The sequence below is a fragment of the Homo sapiens genome, chromosome 6 (genome assembly GCF_000001405.40).
Source record: "Homo sapiens chromosome 6, GRCh38.p14 Primary Assembly".
Lineage (NCBI taxonomy): Eukaryota > Metazoa > Chordata > Mammalia > Primates > Hominidae > Homo > Homo sapiens.
This window is the reverse complement of record NC_000006.12, coordinates 75,711,989-75,734,142: the sequence shown is the minus strand read 5'-3', so window position 1 is coordinate 75,734,142 and position 22,154 is coordinate 75,711,989. Positions and strand designations below refer to the sequence as shown.

At 38.3% G+C, this 22,154-nt stretch overlaps 1 protein-coding gene across 2 annotated transcripts in view; it reads right to left on the bottom strand.

Moving 5' to 3' along the window:
• Window positions 1-15,861: 15,861 nt before the first annotated feature.
• Window positions 15,862-22,154, bottom strand: part of SENP6 (SUMO specific peptidase 6) — a 116,402-nt gene continuing 110,109 nt past the window's right edge. For both annotated transcript variants that reach the window (NM_015571.4, NM_001100409.3), the window contains 3 exons: window positions 20,562-20,630; window positions 20,318-20,468; window positions 15,862-18,758 (listed from right to left, as the gene is read on the bottom strand). In NM_015571.4, coding sequence (NP_056386.2) covers window positions 18,549-18,758; window positions 20,318-20,468; window positions 20,562-20,630 — 430 coding nt within the window. In that variant the 3' untranslated portion in view covers window positions 15,862-18,548. The remainder of the gene's footprint in view (window positions 18,759-20,317; window positions 20,469-20,561; window positions 20,631-22,154) is intronic.

Below are 22,154 nucleotides of genomic sequence, written 5' to 3'. Positions count from 1 at the left end.
GACATACTGGTAATTTTTTTTAACCTGGGTAATGAATTATACAGATGGGTTATCTTAGTAATAATACATTGAGCTGTACATTCATTCATGATCTGTGCACTTTTTCTCTACATGTAAACCTATAAAAGGGAAACTATTTCCCTATAACACTCACAGAATACTTCTGACACCAAATGTATGTAGTAATTCTCCAACTATTCCAACAACTGGGTATCCTACAATTTAATTCAATTCTGACACTGTCTACCTGGTGTCAGACCTCCCTGGTTAAGGGCTCAATCCCCAAGACTGCCACCATTTCAGATGACAGTCACAAGTCCCAGGTTGTCACCTGCACTTCTGACAGACCATCTATCATGATCCTCACCTCAGGTTTGATAATTTGCAAAAGTAGCTCACAGAACTCAGGGAAACATTTGTTTATGTTTACCAGTTTAGTTTAAAGGACACAACTCAGGAATGGTCAGACAGATGGAAGATATGCATAGGGCAAGGTATGTGTAAGAAGGGGCTCAGATCTTCTATGCTCTTGCCAGATATACCATCTTCCTGACATGTGAATTCACTCACCAACCCAGAAGTTCTGTGAACCCCATCATTTAGGATGTTTATGTAGACTTCATTATGTAAGCATGATTGATTAAGTCATTTGGCCTTTGATGATTAAGGTAACCTCCAGCATTTCTCCCCTACCTGGAGATCAGGGGTGGAGGCTGAAAGTTCCAACCCTCTAATGACATTGTTGGTTCCTCTGGCAGCCAGCCCTCCCATTCTAAGAGGCTTTACAAAAGTCACTTTATTAATATAAGCCAAAGAGTGGTTGAAAAAAGCTTGTTCTAATAAAAAAGACACTCTATATAAGTAGGTATTTTTTGGGCAGGGTGGGGTGGTAGGGTCTTGTTTTGTCACCCAGGCTAGAGTGCAGTGCTCTGATCACAGCTCACTGCAGCCTCAACCTCCTGGGCTCAAGCAATCCTCCTACCTCAGCCTCCTTAGTAGCTGGGACTACAGACACACACCACCAAGCCTGGCTACTTTCTGTATTTTTTGTTGATACGGAGTTTCACCATGTTGCCCAGGCTGGTCTCAAACTCCTGGGCTCCAGCTATCCACTTGCCTCGGCCTTCCAAAGTGCTGGGATTACATGCATGAGCCACCATGCCTGGTTCTGTGTTACATTTTTTGAACTAAAAGTTGATAATTTAAAAAATACAAGGCCGGGTGTGGTGGGTCACACCTGTAATCCCAGCACTTTGGGAGGCCAACGGGGGTGGATCACCTGAGGTCAAAAGTTCGAGACTAGCCAGCCAACATGGTGAAACCCTTTCTCTACTAAAAATACAAAAATTAACCAGGTATGGTGGCGCACATGTAGTCCCAGCTACTCAGGAGGCTGAGGCAGGAGAATCGCTTGAACCTGGGAGGCAGAGGTTGCAGTGAGCTGAGATCGCACCACTGCACTCCAGCCTGGGCAACAAGAGTGAAACTCCGTCTCAAAAAAAAAAAAAAAAAATACTGCTGAGCATGTGGTGCATGCCTGTAGTCCCAGGTATTTAGGTATTTAGGAGGCTGAGGTGGGATGATCACTTGAGGCCAGGAGTTCCAGGGCAGCCTGGGCAACATAGGTAGTTGTTGTCTCTAAAATAAATAAATAAAATTTTAAAAATAACGTTCATAATTTATTCAAGAGGTATATACATCAATATATCCAAGTTGGCTCTAGAAAAAATTTTACTCTTGTGTATTTAAATCTTTTGAAGCATAAAATACTAAAACCTTAGTGTTATTATTCATATTGTGGATGATAATATCAAGTAGTGGACTTTAAGGAGCACCAGAAAAAGAATAAGATAGAAATTATCAGAACAAATCTCTTTAAAAAGGTAAAGAATTGTTTTCTGAAGCTTTTTAGTTGAGTGTTTGTGGGTGGAGGGAGCTGTATGGAGAACTGTATTTTATATAGGAATTTAATTGAAAATATATTTATCAATGATGTCCTGTTAACAAGTCTGACAAAGGATAAAAAAAAATCTGACAGCCATTGCCTATCCCAGAAAAGACAGAATCTTCAGTTCATAAATCTGGTCTTGTTCTGGGATTTTTAGGTTACTTGGCAATTTGAGGAAATTATGACCAGTGCTGTATCTAGACTAGAACAATTTCTCCCTAGGAGGTTTATGGTTATCCTATTTATAGCCAACTTTCTCAAGATTTAAGGATTAAAAATAACTGACTGGGCTGGGCATGGTGGCTCATGCCTGTAATCCCAGCATTTTGGGAGCCCAAGGTGGGTGGAACACTTGAGGTCAGGAGTTTAAGACCAGCCCGGCCAACATGGTGAAACCCTGTCTCTACTAAAAATTCAAAAATTAGCCCAGCATGGTGGCAGGTGCCTGTTATGCCAGCTACTCGGGAGGCTGAAGCAGGAGAATTGCTTGAGTTTGGGAGGCAGAGGTTGCAGTGAGCCAAGATCATGCCACTGTACTCCGGCCTGGGTGACAGAGCAAGACTCTGTCTCCAAATAATAATAGTAATAATGTTAATGATAATAACTGTTATAATAATCTGTGAATTAGCATCTCAAACCCTGCTAGTAACAGGCAGTAATTTTTTCAATTATTCTAATGAATAATTAGATTTCTGGCTCACTTCAGTACTCATTCATTATATTCCCTTTTCACCCTTTGTGTGTTGTAGGTGTGTCTTTTGCACATGGTCTTTCTCTGCCCCAGACTATTTCTTTAAACTCATCTCATTTTCATACTATCTTCCTCTGCAGATTCCATATTGATTTGTTTATAGTGACTTTGTCATACGTTTGGATATTTCTTTTTCTTTTTTTTGAGATGGAGTCTTGCTCTGTTGCCCAGGCTGGAGTGCAGTCGCACGATTTCGGCTCACTGCAGCCTCTGCCTCCCTGGTTCAAGTGATTCTCATGCTTCAGCCTCGCTGGGACCACAGGTGTGTGCCACCATGCCAAGCTAATTTCTTGTATTTTTAGTAGAGATGGGGTTTTGCTATGCTGGCCAGGTTGGTCTCGAACTCCTGGCCTCAAGTGATCCACCCACCTCTGCCTCCCAAAGTGCTAGGATTACAGGCGTGAGCCATTGCGCCCGGCCATGCTGATATTTCTTTTCCTGGCTTCCCTCAGGAATTTTTCCTTTGATCTAAGCTTTGAGGTTTTTTGTTTTTTTTTTTTTGTTTTGTTTTGTTTTTTTCAAGAGACAGGGGCTCACTGTGTCACCCAGGTTGAGGTGCAATGGTGCCATCATAGCTCACTACAATCTCAAACTCCTGGGCTCAAGCCATCCTCGTGCTTCAGTCTCCCAAAATGTTGGGATTACAGGCATAAGCCACAGCGCCTCGGCAAGCTTTGAGATGTTAAAATAAATTTAAGACACCACCACGAACACTACTGGCATTATATAAAATTGCATTATAGTAACAGAATACTAGAAAGGAATCAACATTTTACAGTATTTTGCCTTCCCTTCTGAGAACATGATTATCTGTTTCTTTCTGTTCTTTGTAAGTCTTGTGCTCATGGATGAGGCTGTGTAGTTCTCTCATTTGCCTTTTTTCTTAGTTTTATTCTAAGTATTTTAATAGTTGTTGGTTATTACGGTGAATTTTTCTTTCAATTCCTTTCCTACATTCTCATTGTTAGAATTAGTTTTTTATCTAGGCATAGCCCAATTATCTTATTTGTTCCAGGGGTATTAAAAAAAAGTTTTCTGAGCTTTCTAGTTTTATAACAATCTAATCAACAGAAATGTTCCTTTTATTTATTTTTCCAAAGGTTATACCAGTTATTTCATTTTTCTTATGTTAGAATATTTGCTGTATGTGAAAAATCAATATTGAATAGTATTGTCTATTTCTTGATATTTAAATAGTTTTTAGTGTTTTACTATTTAGTATATTATTTGTTACTTTTTTACATCTTTACTAGAATTTTTAGATTAAAGATATACTGGCTTTATAAATGATTTGGGATACCTTCACCGATTTGTATGCCCTAGAATAGTTCAAATTGCCTCAAATTTAGTGTTTTTAATTATTTTTATTTTATTTACTTATTTTTTAATTTTATTTTTGTTTTTGGAGACAGGGTCTTGCTCTGTTACCCAGGTGGAGTGCGGTGGTGTGCTGACGGCTCACCGTAGCCTTCATCCTGGCCTCAAGCCTAATCTCCTGGCCTCAAGAGATCCTCTCACCTCAGCCTACTGAGTAGCTGGGACCACAGGCCTGTGCCATCATACCAGCTAATTTAAAAAATATTTTGTAGAGCTGGGCTTGCCCAGGCTAGTCTCAAATTCCTGGGCTCAAGCAATCCTCGTGCTTTGGCCTCCCAGAGTGCTGGGAATACAGGTGTGAGCCACCACACCCAGCCCAAATTTAATTTAAAAATTCAAATCTAGCTGGACACAGTGGCCCAGCCTCTGGAATGACCCCACCTCTGGAAAAAAAAATTAAAAAAAAAAATTAAATGCAATAACTGATCTTGTGTAACCCTTTATTTGCCAGTATCTTCTAAGTGTACATAATCTAATCAAGTTGTTTACTTCTTGAGTTAGTTCTGATATTTTCTAACTTTCCAGAAATTTATGTATTTCTTTCAAGCTTTCAGATTGTAGTAATATAATTACATGATAAAGTCTTTTTTTCTTTTTTTCTTGCTCTGTTGCCCAGGCTACAGTGGCACCATCTCAGCTCACTGCAACCTCTACCTCCCAGGTTTGAGAGATTCTCCTGTCTCAGCCTCCCAAGTAGCTGGGACTACAGATGTGCACCACCATGCCCGGCTAATTTTTGTATTTGTAGTAGAGATGGGGTTTCACCATGTTGGTCAGGCTGGTCTCGAACTCCTGACCTCGGGTGATCCACCCACTTTGGCCTCCCAAAGTGCTGGGATTGCAGGCGTGAGCCACCTCGCCCGGCCATGTTAAAGTCTTTTTTAAGCCTTTCTGTATCTGTGATATGTCTCCTTTCTCCTATTTTCCTTTTTAAATTTTCTTTTTTTTTCTATCAGTCTCAAGAGTTTATCTAATTTATCTTTTCAAAAAAAAATCTAATTGTGACTTTATTTTTGGACAGAGTATGGTAGTGTAGTAGGAAGTTCCAATCATTAATGTTAACTTCTGTCTCAATTTCCTTTCCCAATTTATTTGAAAAAAAAAAGTATTCACTGTTCTGTTCCTAATTTTATTTTTGTATTTTAAAATATTTTGTAACTTAATGAACACACAAAACTTCATTGATAAGAACAATTTCATAAATTAATAAGTGTTAGGAAGTTGGGGGAGTGGTCAAGGTAATAGGAAGAGGGAAACAGCCAGTATTTTTGTACAGGTGCTGTTTCACAAATCACCAGATGTTCATAATTTTTTTTTTTTTTTTGAGATGAAGTCTCACTCTGTCGCCCAGACTGGAGAGCAGTAGTGCGATCTCAGCTCACTGCAACCTCTGCCTCTTGGGTTCAAGCGATTCTCCTGCCTCAGCCTCCTGAGCAGCTGGGATTACAGGTGCACACCACTGCACCGGCTAATTTTTTGTATTTTTAGTAGAGACGGGGTTTCACCATGTTGGCCAGGCTGGTCTTGACCTCCTGACCTCAGGTAATCCACCCACCTCGGCCTCCCAAAGTGCTAGGATTATAGGCGTGAGCCACCGGGCCCAGCCCTAATTTTTAACATGAAGTTTTAGTTTCTTTAATTTTTGTGTTTAATAATGAAGATGTTTAAACCTATACATTTCCTCTGAGTTCAGCTTTCACTATGTTCTACAGACAATCAATATAGAAATTTCAGGAATAAATTTCAGTAATATAATAATTTAATATATGACACACATGGGAATTCACTATAATGTGAAACAGGATTTTTAATAAGTAGTGCTGGCACAAATGACCATCTAGAAAATATAAAGTTTTAAATAGTATAGGCCAGGCAAGGTAGCTCACACTTGTAATCCCAGCACTATGGGAGGCTGAGGCAACCAGATTGCTTGAGCCCAGGAGTTAGAGACCAGCCTGGGCAATATGGTGAAACCCCATGTCTACAAAAATACAAAAATTAGCCAGATATGGTGGCACACGCCTGTAGTCCCAGCTACTCAGGAGGCTGAGGTGAGAGGATCGCTTGAGCCTGGGAAGTCAAGGCTGCAGTGAGCCAAGATTGGGCCACTGTACTCCAGCCTGGGCAATGGAGTGAGACCTTGCCTCAAAAACCAAACCAAACCAAACCGAACCGAACTGAACCGAACCAAACCAAACCTGTGTATGACAAGAGATATGGTTGTTATATTCTTTTTTTTTTTCTTTTTGAGACCGGGTCTCACTCTGTCGCCCAGGCTGGAGTGCAGTGGCCCAATCTTGGCTCATTGCAGTCTCGACCTCCCATGCTCAAGCGATCCTCCCACCTCAGCCTCCCGAGTGGCTGTGACTACAGGGACACACCAACACACTTGGCTAATTTTTAATTTTTTTGTAGAGATGAGATCTCACCACGTTGCTCAGGCCAGTCTTGAACTCCTGGGCCCAAGCAATCCTACTCCCTCAGCCTCTCAAAGTGCTGGGATTACAGGCATGAGCCACCACACGTGGCCATTTTTTTGTGTGTTTTTCAAAAGACAGGGTCTTGTGCTTTCACCAGGCTGGAGTGCAGTGGCATGATCATAGTTCACTGTAACCTCAAACTCCTGGGCTCAAGGGCTCCTCCCACCTCAGCCTCCTCAGTAGCTAGAACTGCAGGTGTGTGTCTCGCTATGTTGCCCAGGCTGGTCACAAACTTCTGGCCTTAAGCAATCCTTTTACCTTGGCCTCCCAAAGCACTGGGATTACAGGCATGAGCCACTGCACTCAGCCTCTGTAGTTTTATTACTTATATTTTAAAAGTTTTGCAAGAATTATGTGAGTAAATGTACTGTTCTGAGTCAAGAAGGAATGTCTTAACCAAGATTGAAAACTCAAAACATACATAAAAATAAAAACTTTGGTATGGAAAATATACCACAAAGTCTACAGACAATAAATTAGGAAAAAATACATTTGTAACACAGATGGCAATGTTATATGCAGAAAGCTTAAATATTAATTGGAAAAAAGACTAATCCAGTGGAGAATGGACAAATGATAGGCACAGCTAACACGGGAAAAAAAAAAGCCTCAAATTTAAACTAATGATGGGCCGGTCACGGTGGCTCATACCTGTAATCCCAGCACTTTGAGAGGCTGAGGCGGGTGGATCACTTGAGGTCAGGAGTTCCAGATTAACCTGGCCAATGTGGCGAAACACCGTTTCTACTAAAAATACAAAAATTAGCCTGGCGTGGTGGCATGTGCCTGTAATCCCAGCTACCTGGGAGGCTGGGGCAGGAGAATCCCTTGAACCCGGGAGGCGGAGGTTGCAGTGAGCACGAGATCATGCTACTGTGCTCCAGCCTGGGTGAGACAGTGAGACTTCATCTCAAAAAAAAAAAAAAAAAAATTAAACTAATGGTGAGGGAAATGCAAATCAAAGTAATAATGAAAGATAGCCTTATATGCAAAAGGCTTGCAAAATTAAAAGAGCTATAATACTTATTGTTGATTGGGATTCACGAGAAACTGTATTTTAATGGCTATAGAAAAGTTAGTCTTACATCCTTTTGGAAAAGAAGCTGGTAATAGCTACAAAAATTAAAAATACATATGACCTTTGATCCTACAATCCTTGGAAAACTATTCCAAAGAAATAAAACTACCAGCATATAGAGAATCAGAGAAATATTTTAGACAATGATAATTGCAAAAAACTGGAAACAAGTGAATGCCCATTAGTGTGGTAGTCACAAAATATTCCTCTCCTTTTGGAAATATGGTGAGAGTAAACTGATTTCTTCCTTCCGAAGTTAGGAGTGTCCACTGACTTTAGAGTGGTGCAGTGTGAATGGAAGTGATGTGACACTTTTGGGTAGAAGCTGGAAGAGTCAACGTGCTGCTCACCAGTTTCCCGTCCCACCCTCGAGTAGCTATGGAAGTTTGTATCAACCTAGAGCTTCATCAGTCTGGATAGGTGAGTAACTGATGAGCAGAGCTCCCCTATTTTCCTCTTTGGGGCATGCAGCATGACCAAAGAAAGGAAGCTTTCTGGGGAGGGTAAGTTCTGAGATTTTGGAATTGTTGCTGTTGCATAACAAGCCTATTGACACTGATAGAGCAAGGGAATAGATAAATAAATTGTGGTCCATCATAAAATAAACTTTAATTATACCAGATGGCATGGATTTCCACAAGATATGCTGAGACAAAAGAAAGATTCTGGAAAATGTTTTTTGTAATTATCCTAGTTTTTATAAGAAAAACCATTTAAAAATACACCTTTATACATGTATTACTATATATAGATGTATATAAGAGTATATGAATATAGGGAAAAATATGAAAGCATACAAAGTTAAAATAGGTTATAAAGGAAATTAAAATCCAGACTATAATAATTTAAAGAGCAAAGCTTTATGGTATGATCACATGACTCAAAGTTATTCACATTTAATTGTAATTACAAATAAAATACTGTTGGGTAGATATCATCAAAAAATTTCATACATGTTTCATTGAATGCTGATGCTTTGATGCTTGCTGCTTTCTTGGTCTTACCTGCATCAAGAGGTTTTCAAACACCTGGCTGAAAACACTACTAAGAAGCCATACATACATCCTTGTGGTCTTGCCTGAGACCTTGTTGGAAATGTAAATTTGAAGGCCCACTGGATACTCCCTGAATCGGAAACTCTGAGGACAGGGCCCAGTACTCTGCATTTTATCAAGCCTCCCAGGTGGTTCTTATGCAAACCCGTTTCCTTATTTGATGAAGTGTAGCTTTATTCCAGAGATTAAAATATGAGGAAACAATATCCGTCTTTTTTTTTTTTTTTTGAGACGGAGTCTTGCTGTGTTGCCCAGGCTGGAGTGCAGTGGCACGATCTTGGCTTACTGTAACCTCTGCCTCCCAGGTTTATGCTATTCTCCTGCCTCAGCCTCCCGAGTAGCTGGGACTACAGGCGCCTGCCACCACGCCTGGCTAATTTTTTGTGTTTTTAGTAGAGACGGGGTTTCACCGTGTTAGCCAGGATGGTCTCCATCTCCTGACCTCATGATCCGCCTGCCTCGGCCTCCCAGAGTGCTGGGATTACAGGCGTGAGCCACTGCGCCCGGCCAACAATGTCCGTCTTAGAAATAAGGTAATTTGTCCAGGTGCGGTGGCTCACGCCTGTAATCCCAGCACTTTGGGAGGCCGAGGTGGGCAGATTACAAAGTCAGGAGTTCGAGACCAGCCTGGCCAACATGGTGAAACCCCATCTCTGTTAGAAATACAAAAATCAGCTGGGCATGGTGTGTGCCTGTAATCCCAGCTACTCAGGAGACTGAGACAGAGAATCGCTTGAATCTGGGAGGCAGAGGCTGCAGTGAGCTGAGATCATGCCACTGCACTCCAGCCTTGGCGACAGAGCAAGACTCCATCTCAGAAAAAAAATAAAAAAGAAAGAAAGAAATAATTTATTAGACTATCATTTTAACACACCATCTTCTCTCTTCTTCCAGTTTGCAAATTTGTTCCTTATTTTCCATCTAAATTCCCAATGATCAAATCTGATTGGCCTGTTTTTGTTTTGCTTTTTATCTGCTAGGTCATATCACTAAACTAACCTTCTTTGAGATCAAGTATCTACCCTAAATCCAGTTAGCTGTGACAGGAGGAGAATGGGATGGGGGAGAGCAAGTGATACAAAACATAACTAGCTATGTTACAAGAACTTTGGACAGTTTCCCTAAGAAACATATTTGGAAATGTTGCCTGACTAGATCAAGTATAATAAACTGTTTTTACACTGATAAAATCTTTTCCTCTGGAGTGTTGATATTCCATGCTAATTTTATATTCTTTTTATCTTTATATTTTAAAAATTACAAAACTTTGGTGTTTTAGTGCTGTTTTTTTCTTTGGTGGTATCACATGCTTTATACACAATTTTGCTTTTAAAATAAATTTTCTTGCTGGACGCAGTGGCCCACACTTGTAATCTCAGCACTTTGGGAAGCTGAAGCAGGAGGATTGCTTGAGACCAGGAGTTCTAGGCTCCAGTGAGCTATGATGATGCCACTGCACTCCAGCTTGGCCAATAGAGCAAGACTGTCTCTTAAAAAAAAAAAATTAAAACCAATTTTCTATAAATGTCTTCAGTTAGACATTTTCTGTCCATTTTTCAGCTGTATATATTTAGCTAATTCCTTTCTTCATAAAGAAAAAAAACAAAAGTCCTGACTAAGACAAAACCAACTAACCAACCATTTCCTATTTTTTTTTTTTTTTTTTTTTTTTTTTTTGAGACAGGGTCTTGCTCTATTACCCAGACTGGAATGCAGTGGCTTGATCATAGCTCACTGCAGCCTTGAACTCCTGGGCTCAAGCAATCCTCCCATCTCAACCTCCCAAGTAGCTGGGATTTAAAAATTTTTTGTAGACATGTGGCCTTGTTATGTTGCACAGGCTGGTCTCAAATTCCTGGCCTCAAGCGGTCCTCCTGCCTTGACCCCCCACAGAGTGCTGGGATTACAGGTGTGTGCCACTGTGCCTGGCCTATTTCCTGTTGTTATTGCATGTTTCTAAAAGGAACATTTCAAATGAAATATCCAAATTATGTCTTACTATTTCAGCATTCCTATGATCACAGGCATAATTGTATCCGTTACCCTAACTATAGTACTTCATAATTAGTTTACTTATTATAGTAGAGGTTTACTCTCATTCTTGTCCCCAGTAATGCTTTCATTACCACTATGATCTTTCCAACATTCACATTTGATGTTATTCCTCTGCTTGAAATGCTTCAATGGCTTTTTAGGATAATAACCAAAATCAATCTTTTTTTGGGGGACGGTGTCTCGCTCTTGTCCCAGGCTGAAGTGCAGTGGCGTGATCTTGGCTCACTGCAGCCTCCGCCTCCTGGGTTCAAGCAATTCTCCTGCCTCAGCCTCCCAAGTAGCTGGGATTACAGGCGCCCGCCACAACGCCCAGCTAATTTTTTGTATTTTTAGTAAAGATGGGGTTTCACCATGTTGGCCAGGCTGGTGGTCTTGAACTCCTGATTTCAGGTGATCCACCCACCTCGGCATCCCAAAGTGCTGGGATTACAGGTGAGAGCCACTGTGCCCGGCCATGACCAAAATCTTGAACATAGCTTCAAAAGCCTCCATGATTAGGTCCCAGCCTACCTTTCTACTTCGTTCTGAACTTGTATTACATACTTTTATTTTTAAAATTATGAAAATGTTTACACATATTAAACAAATAACATAACAAACCCCTATACAACCAGTTTCAGTAATAAGCAAGATTATGCTACATTGCATCTCTTAAAAAAATAGGTACATCTTATTTATTTTCACTTTCTTTTACCTAGTACAGGTTAACCTAGCCTCTAGGTAAGGTTGCGAATTCAAAACCCAGCCTTGCTGGGGAAACTATTTCTTTGGATTTCTTTGTCCTGGAAATTGGGAGTCATAACAGTACATCTCTTATGTTGTTGTGAGGAATAAGTGAATTCATTGATTTAAAATGCTTAGACCAGTCAGGTGTGGTGGCTCATGCCTGTAATCCTAGCACTTTGGGAGGCCGAGCGGGTGATCACTTGAGGTTAGGAGTTCAAGACCAGCCTGGCCAACATGATGAAACCCGTCTCTATGAAAAATACAACAATTAGTTGGGCACTGGCCAGGTGCGGTGGCTCACGCCTGTAATCCCAGCACTTTGGGAGGCCGAGGTGGGCGGATCGCGAGGTCAGGAGATCGAGACCATCCTGAGTAACACGTGAAACCCTGTCTCTACTAAAAATACAAAAAAAGAATTAGCTGGGCCTGGTGGCGGGCGGCTGTAGTCCAAGCTACAGTCCAAGGGAGGCTGAGGCAGGAGAATGGCGTGAACCCGAGAGTCGGAGCTTGCAGTGAGCTGAGATCGCGCCACTGCACTCCAGCCTGGGGTGAGATTCTGTCTCAAAAAAAAAAAAAAAAAAAATTAGCTGGGCATGGTGGCACAGGCCTGTAATTCCAGCTACTCGGAGGCTGAGGCATGAGAATCGCTTGAACCCAGGAGGTGGAGATTGTAGTGAGCCGAGATCATGCCACTGCACTCCAGCCTGGGCAACAGAGTGATACTCCATCTCAAAAAAATAAAATAAGATAAAACATAAATAAAATGCTTAGACCAATGTTTGGCATCCTTAATAAATGAGACCATTATCATTTAGAACAAATTACACATCTTCGTACCTCAGAGCCTTTGCACAGCCTACAAGCACTATCCTGTCTTCCCCTTCCAGACTTTGTTTAGTAGTTCAGATGTTACACCTTTGGGGAAGACTTCCTTAACTTCCCCAGATTAAGCTATCTTATCTTAATATACTCTATGAACTTCTTAATACACTCTATGATACTTACTTGAAATTATTAATTCGTGTGGCTGATTAACATGTCTTTTCCATTACACTATAAGAAGGCTCCAGGAAGGAGGATGGTATCTGGCTGTTTTGTCACCAGCACCTAGTACAAAGTAGACACTCAAAACATTTATTCAAAAAATAAGAATTAATTTATTTTCATCTAACTTATTTTTTATCAAATCTTGTTACCATGTATAAAGCTAATTATGATTATTTAATAATATATTCTCTAACTGGTTCGAACAACTTTTCAGTTATTGAAGGGGTTAAAAACACTGGAAATTAATAACAATAATTTCTAGCTTATAGAATATTTAAACTTTTTTTACAGAGACAATTTTTTTAAAGACACGAAGGTCTTGCTTTGTGACTCAGGCTGGATTTGAACTCCTGGGCTCAAGTGATCCTCCCACCTCAGCCTCTCAAGTAGCTGGGGCTACAGATGTGCATCACCATGCTGAGCTCCAATACTTTCTTGCACAGATTTTCTTTTTTTTTGAGATGGAGTCTCGCCCTATCGCCCAGGCTGGAGTGCAGTGGCGTGATCTTGGCTCACTGCAAGCTCCACCTCCCGGGTTCATGCCATTCTCCTGCCTCAGCCTTCCGAGTAGCTGGGACTACAGGTGCCTGCCTCCACGCCCGGCTAATTTTTTGGATTTTTTAGTAAAGATGGGGTTTCACTGTGTTAGCCAGGATGGTCTCAATCTCCTGACCTCGTGATCAGTCTGCCTCAGCCTCCCAAAGTGCTGGGATTACAGGTGTGAGCCACCGCGCCCAGCCGGCGCACAGATTTCCTTAGAAGAAAAAAATGCTTCTAGGTAGAAAGTTTGCCTATTGCAGTTTAATTCTAAAATAAAAGATAACTGAGTGGAAGTTGGGGGTTTAATCTAGCAGTTAAGTAGTTCAGATATAAACAGAAGGAAAAGCCTCAAGATAACCTTTCAATACACTTTCATATTTTTACACAATTGCTACTTGTATATGAGGAATTTAGGGGATTTGATAACCTTACAAAAGATTAGTATCACTAAATTTGCTTTTTTTCTAGAATAACCCACTTGTATAAAAAGTATTTGTAATTTTTTCATAATGGTTATTTTCATCATGATTAAAGAAAAATTCTCATTAAACTTCATTTCCCTAAGACACTGGTCACATATTTTCAAGTTTCCAAATCATATATATACCCAACTATTAATAAAGTGTAAAAAAAAAAAAAAACCTCAAATCAATTTTAAAAGCATCTTCTATCAAAGGTCAGTTCACAAACACCCCCAATAGTTGAAACTATGTTTTCTGATGGGTAGCATTTATCATGAAGCATTTATCTCTCTACCAGGAGAGAGAGGATATGGCCAAATTCTACAGTAATGCTGTGTTCTGCACCTTAGCCTATTAAAGACTCCAAGAAGTCCTGTGAGGAGACCTGCTTAAACTGTTTTCTAAATTTAAATGACCACATAATCTATTCTATGAAAACAAAGTTATCAAACACACTTTGAGAATTCATGGTCTATCTGCATTCTACACATTAGCTTGTCCAGAATCCCATTAAAAATATTAAACAGGCTGGGCACAGTGGCTCATGCCTGTAGTCCCAGCACTATGGGAGGCTGAGGCAGTTGGATCACTTGAATCCAGGAGTTCGAGACCAGCCTGGGCAACATGATGAAACCCGGTCTCTACAAAAAAAAAAAAAAAAAAAAATACAAAACATTAGCCAGGTGTGGTGGCATACACCTGTAGTCCCAGCTACTCAGGAGGCTAAGGCAGGAACATTGCTTGAGCCCAGGAGTTTGAGGCTGCAGTGAGCCAAGATCGTGCCACTGTGCTTCAGCCTGGGTGATAGAGCAGGATTCGGTATAAAAAAAAATTATATATAACAAACTTGCTGTTAGCGGTCCCATGATCCCACGATATGATCCTGGTGACCCCTGCTTTAGGAGTTCATAAACCAGTCTTTTGATAATTCATCTTAGAGTCTTATCAAGAACTACTTTATAATTTGCAGAATCTACTTTTTCCCTTTGAAAATCAGGACATTTGCCAGTCTCTAACCTATGACTAGTTTAATATAGGTTGAGCATCTCAAATCTGAACATTTGAAACATTTTGAGCACCGATACGACACACAAAAGAAATGCTCCTTGGAGCATTTCAGATTTCAGATTTGGAATGCTCAACAGTATGAATACAAACACTCTAAAATACAAAAAAGTCTGAAACACCTCTGGTCTGAAGCATTTCAGATAAGAGATACTCCGCTTGTACTTTAATTTCTCAAGGCTTAGTAACAGCACGACCTCCTCAATCAAGTTCTCAATGGGAATTTGAGGCAAGCACTTAAAGCGTATCTTAAAGCACTGGTGAGAAGAAAATGCAGACAAGCCTCACTTACCTTTGGGACCAGCAACTAGAAAGCCACCAGAGACAAATACTTATCCTTTCAAATCAGTGGCTTGCCACAGGAGGTGTGCACCAGAACTAACTGGGAAATTCTTATAGTTTGTAAAGCTCCTTGGATGATTTTAATACACATTTAGATAAAAATCCTAGTTTTGTGACATGTGCCTGTAGTCCCAGCTACTCGGGAAGATGAAGTGGGAGAATGGCCTGAGCCAGGGAGGTGGAAGTTGCAGTGAACCAAGACCGTGCCACTGTACTCCAGCCTGGTTGATAGAGTGAGACCCTGTCTCAAAAAAGAAAAAAAAAAATCCTGATTTTGGGTACCATCCTTCTCACTGTAATCATGTCCACTAAGGACAATTTAACCATAATCATTTGTAATGAAGACAATAAAGACCGCTATGCTTTTAACTTTTATGAGTATTTTAGGCCACGAGTCGATGGCATCTTTCTCTAAGTACATTGTACTCTGGTTTCCTTAATGGTATTTTAGGAAACGCTAGCACTATTCCTTGATCTGGCTTCTAAGAATTAAGATGGTAGGGCTGGGCTACTTTCCCCCATAATCCACATTGCTTTCACTTAATCAACCAATTCTCCCTCTACAGGTAATAAGTTTTGGAATAGCAGTGTTCATAACCCATTTTCTTCTTCCTGAGTAGGAAATGACAAATGTACCAGAAATCCCTGTTGGAGTATTTTAGCACATTTCTTAGTAGATACAGTCTAGTTTTGCCTCTCTGCACTTGGTCTTCAACTATTTACTTACGTCCACTTGACTAGACAGCCTGTAGTTCACCTTAACAATAATCTCCCTCTCCTTTTGTCCTTACAGTTATCTAAAGAGCAGCCTTGTTATCTGTATCTCTTCTAGACAAACAGCACTACACTGAGTCTTAAGAGTTGTTTCTTCTGACCAAGGTATTCCCTTCCATTGTTATATTCCAGTCGCTTTGCTCCACCAAACTCTTGGTCATATTATATATTAAAATATGTTCTTTATTATTCCTGTTCAGTGAATTGTCTGAGATTTTAAGTACAATTTTTGATTTTGGGGGAATTAAAACTTATTCTTTTTACATTGTCTCACAGTTTTCAGAGATCATTTTTTTAAAGAAAAATTACTGCATTCATTTTGGTGGCTTAAAACAAGATGTAATTTAGAGAATCATTTTATGTTTTCAAATAAAACCTCCTACATTTAATTGACTAAAAGTTTAAGCACAAGTTACTACACAAAGAAAACCTTTTTTAGGGTTATGTGAACTTGAAATAATACCATTAAGTTTTCAGCTGTCTGAAGTAGCACAGCAACATTAACGGGAAGGGACTAAACACCACTTCTGCTCCTAAACCAACAAGAGCTGAGACATACAAATTTTATGGCAAGTAATCTAAAACTCTTCTAAAAATGATTAACTGTTATTCTATCCAACAAGAAAACCAATACAACAGATCTATCTAATTAGTTAAGACACCAGATACTTGTCATGCAGTTTCAGTGTCTAGTAACAAACCTCTATAAGTTCTGTTTTACAACTTCTAAGTACTAATAACACATTTTAAAAGGCTTGATCCCACTTTAAACTACATAGAATACACAATTATCAAGTGAATGTGCATATACACGAAAGATTCTCAAGTCTAGTTTTGAAGCTCAACCTGGCAGCCTCCGAAGATTTCAATATATATTGCAATGTCACTAGCATAACTTCCAAAAATAAAATTTCACATGGGGTGGGAAAAATGCCATCAAATAGCTGAGTATTCTACCTCTAGAAAGCTGACATACATTAATCTATATTTTTCATGTTAAAATCTGATTGACTTGAGTTGGTACAAGGGATAAATTATATTTTTATCTTATCAAACATTATCTAAGGGTGCAAAATGTAAGCATTACAAATTAATGCAAAAACAAGTAGGCATTTTAGAATAGTTTTTCAGTACCTTCAGATTCTGACAAAATATAGTTCATTAAAAAAATTATGTATGCCAATTTTGCTTATTGCTATTAGGTTTTAAAAAAAACAACTTCAATTTTTTATCCCAGTTTTATTATAGATTGAAAAGCATTTTGCCATGTTCAGTAAATAATAAAATTAAACTTGTTTTTCATATGAGCTAATTAAGATATCTGAGCTAACAGCTCTAAGTTATTACTATAAAGAGTTAATCAGAAATATAGTTCAAAGTAACAAACTACAGTTGATATCACTAATGGTGACCTTTCTTACATTTTAATATTTCTCTTACTGAGACTCTACTGTGTCTCAATAGATATTTTTTGGTTGTTGTTAATACTCCCATTCACCCTGAACCCACCCATGGGACTTTATTAAATTCAAGAAAATACCCTAAGATATTGACTGCAATGTCAGAGATGGCCAAATTAAAAATAAAATAATTGCTGATGATTAGGCTTTCTTTTTATTCTCAACTATTTTTGATATATGTGTATTTAAAAATTCAATATTTAACAAAAAATGACTAAAATATGTTTCAAGTCTCAAAGTTCATTTGAAAGAAGTATACACCATTTCATTTGAAAAATAATGAAGTTTCTGCAGATACATGCAAGATCCCTATATGTGCTATAAATCTGTCATGGAAACCATCAAATTTTAGTTATTTTAAAGGGGAATTCAAAGATTTTTGCTGTATTATGCAACTGGTTGAATACAGTACTTTTACATGTAAAAAATAATTTACACTGAAGAACTCAAGCAAAAAGTCTGATACTTTATCAAAATAATAAGAACAAAATGAGCAATGAAAAAATAGCAAAAGCTTTATAAAAAAATAGTAAATTCCTATTTAAATTCCTGTGTTTACACAGATTAAAAATGCTTATCAATTAACTATATGACACAGATTGTAGCATACTTTAAGCTGTAATAGAGAAAGGTAACACGGGATATTTGAAATTCAAGCTGCACTTACCAAAATAGTTTTAACCTGAGTCTTTGATGTCTTCAAAAATGCATTTGATGATAATATATGCAAGAATTTTTTTTTTAGTAGTATAAGGTTACTTTTTTTGAATTGCTCTTAATACTCTTTCCTCTTAAATATTTGTGTAAAATTACAAATATTTATTACATTTCTTGGGTTCACTGAACACAAGGCAGTATATGAATTGAAAGGCTGTTACTTTGTTCCTGTTACACAAGCATATAAAGATGCTTAGTTCAAAATATCTTAGATTTAATATTATTTTCACATTTTGACTTATTTTAGAACAAATATAAAGGGTCAAAATATTACCATAGATATTTGAATATTCCCATGAAATATGTCACACCCACTGAGGAATTAAACAAGTTCACTAAAGAATATCAAATTAATCATTTCCTCCTATAAATATTTTCTTTTTATTTGTGTTTAGAAGTTGCAATTTTAGGTACTATTAACAGAAAATACATAACAAAAGCTTCCTAACAAGTGAAAAAAATAATTATAAATGCTGGAAAAATTGGCCTCATTAACATATTTACAGACTTTTACTTAATACATACGCCTTTGGAAATTAATTATCTGACATTTATACAAGCATCAAAATTTCCAAATCACTGAGTAGTGAGCACTTCAGTTCTTTATTGTCTATACCCAAATTTGAAAGTCATTTAGTTTCTGAAAGTAGAAATGACAAGTAACAGAAATGGTCAATCTGAGATACTATTGACATATTGTTCTGTTCCTTCGCCTAAAGGTGCTTCTGTTGAGTAAGTGTCCTTATGCTTTCTTTTCTCTTTGCTCTGATCTTCCTGTAGCTTCAGAATTATGTTTCGGATTTCTTCTCTTTTTGTTCTCATTCTTGGTGGAGGAAACCAGTTTGCCAAATTCATAGGTAGTTCAAAACTGAGAATTGGATTCTGAAAATACAATTAAATGCGTATTAGAAAACTGTAATAAATAACCTTTCATTTCAATCACAGAAACATTCCGAAGTTAAAAATAAGAAAACCCAACAACGCATTCAATATGTATTTCTGTATTATCTATCACATGCCAAGTACTGTGTTAGGTATTGGAGATACAAGACACAGTTTCTATCATAGATCTTATAGTCTAGATCAGGGTTTGCCAGTGGACCAAATTCTGCCCACCACCTGTTTCTGTAATAAAGTTTTATTGGAACACAGCCACACTAACTCATTTACATATGGTCTGCAGATGCTTTCACTGGACCACAGCAGAACTAAGAGGCAATAGAGACTGCACAGTTGCAAAGCCTAATGTATTTACTACTTTATTAACAAGTTTGCCAGCTCCAGTTTAGAAAGACAGGTAATTCAACAATTAAAACAAGAAATATGGCAAGTATTATGACAGAAGTATAGAGTACTGTGAAAATACATATCTGGGGTTTTATGCAATTCCAAGAGGAAGTGATGTTTAGGCTAAGACCTGAAGAATGAATACATGTTAGACAGACAAGGTATAATAGAAGCAACAAAAAAGTATTCCAGGTTAGGAAATATGAATCAAGGCCTAGAGGCAAGAAAGAACATGAAACAATGGCATTCAGGTGGCTGGCTGTTGTATTAAAGCTAGAGTGAAAATGGTGGGAAAATGAGGCTAGAAGCTTAAATAGGGGGTCAGATCACATAGGTGCTTATCAATCATGTGAAAGATTTTGGTCTGTAAATCAACAGCCACAGGAAGCCACTATAAGATTTAAAGCAGGAAAGTAACAGGATTAGATTTATGTTTTTGGGAAACAACCATGAAAACCAGAAGGCAGGAGGCATAGGAATCTGTTAGAGATTGGTATAGCAGTTCAGAATAGCGACACTCGACGATAAACAAGTAAATCTATCTGACATTAAATGACACAATTCACAGAACCTAGTGGTCATCTACTGTATGGTGGATGAAGATAGGAGCCAAGATCAGAGTAAAGAATATCCAAGAGAGGTTATGTGTGGTACTGTACCTCTGAAGTCAAAGCAAGAGAGTGAGGAAGAAATGGTTGACACTGTCAAAGGGTGCTGGAAAGTCAAGAGCAATTTTAACATAAGGTTAAGGATAAAGCCAGATTTTAGAGATTTGAGAAGTAGAATCTGTAGAATTAGAGAGTGAATATAAACACTTCTTAAGAAATGTATCTATGAAGAGGAGAAAAGAGGCTAAAAGAGGCAGTGTGAATCATGGGAGAGATTTCTTAAGGTGGCAAGAGCTAGTAGAGAGGGCAGGTTGATTGTTCAGTGATAGAATGAGCTCAACAAGCCTTGGATTTGATGAACTGTAAATATACTATTTTTATGCCTTGAAGGTTCTTCCATTTAGAAGTTTTTGCTCCATGGAATAATTTTTGAAACAATAATTTTGAAACTCTTTAAAATATTTGCTTATTGTGTTTTTTACTAAGGTAAAGTCAAATGCACTATTTTATTATTTATTATAGCAGATCCAACAAATTGAAACCCACCTCAAAAAAGCTCTCTACATACTGCAATACATATACACCACAGTCACTGAAGTTGTTTTGCTGTGGTACTTTTGGATTAGAGCCCTTCATAACATCTTTGGAAAAACTTCTTTTGCTTCCTTTTTTAACTTCCCATTCCACTTCTAAATACCTGCAATAATTCATATATATTAAGAATACACACATATATAAATATACATAGTTCTTCATCCCCATCAGAATACGAAATAAAGTGTGAACTTACTCTCTTAAAATTTTGACAACATTTGACCGAGAAGGGCCTCGGAGTGAGTCCATAAGTAGGATACAAGGTCTGCAGGGTAAAAATGACCAAAAGTCGAATACTTCATAATATTACAAATGCATAAAAGGATTAAAAGTGGCATATTATAAACAATCAAATTTAAAACCTTCAAAATCCCCTTTGTATGACTCAGTACTACTGAGGGAAAAAAAATGAACCTTATAGACACATACGAACCTTATAATCTAATAATACTTAAATATCTATGGATATATTAAATATTGAATTATAGAATATTAACTTAACCATATCTTAGCTATATTTTATACTAAAATTCTGTAGTTGGTTTCTAAAAGTACTTCAAAATTAGTAAAAAGTCAAAACAATTCTGAAAAATTGAACATCCCCATATTCCAAAATCAACAAAAGGACCATGAAAAAGTATAAAGAAAATAATCCCCCCAACCTCGGCCCATTTTTTTCAGGCAGGGTCTCACTCTGTCACCATGTGAAGCAGCGTAATAACAGCTCACTGCAGCTTCAATGTCCTGAGCGCAGGTGATCCTCCCAACTCAGCCTCCTGAGGAGCTGTAACTACAGGCATATGTGACCACACTCAGCTAATTTTTGTATTTTTTTTTGTAGAGATGGGTTTTTCCATGTTGCCCAGGCTGGTATAGAACTCCTGGGCTCAAGCTATCTGCCCACCTCAGCCTTCCAAAGTGCTGGGATTATAGGCATGTGCTACTGCGCCCAACCAAAAATCTCATTTTTAACTAAAACTTATTGTAGATAACAAAACAGGTAATCATCACATGAAATAATTAGTTTAGAACTTTTTTTTTTCAAGATTCCACTTCAGAACACTCTGTAGAACACTCCATATAACTCTGTATATAAATATTGATGGCTGAAGATTCAACTTTCAGTATTTTAATTCTGTAAAGTTATGTTGTAAACTCAAGTAAGGAAGTCTAATGTAGAGCCCAAACTCCTCAAATGTTAAAAAAAATCTAGGTTATTTTTTAGCCACCACAGTTGGCTATTATTTTTTTTTTTTAACTTTTTCCAGAGATGGCGTCTCACTGTGTTGCACAAGCTGGTCTTGCACTCCTGGCCTCATGCGGTCCTCCTGCTTTGGTCTTCAGAAGTGCTAGCACAAAGTGTGACCCACTGTGTCTGGAAGTGATCTAGCTTCTTCCTGCTAAAATTTTATAAAGTTTGGAGCAGATTGTTTAACTACCCTAGGTCTCTATTTTTCTGTAGAATGATGCTGCATTTTCAAAGTCTCTTAATAGAGTTTCTGTCAACATTTTCTATAAAAAAAAGTCAAAGGAGATTAAACCTAGAAATAGGTAATACTTCACCTAAGAAGTTCAGCATCTCAGAAGAAACACGTACTTCTGAAAAGCAAAACTGACTCACCCTTATTTGGAGTTCTCAGTTGGAACATGTCTCTTACGTCTGCCTTGGGTTACTCCACAGCCTTCAAAGAGTAGCTAAGGAATCAGTGTAAACTCCAACCCCATGTTACTGTTTTGATATATAGTGATTTCTGCTCCAAAACATTGTAGGTAAAAAGGAATAGTGGTT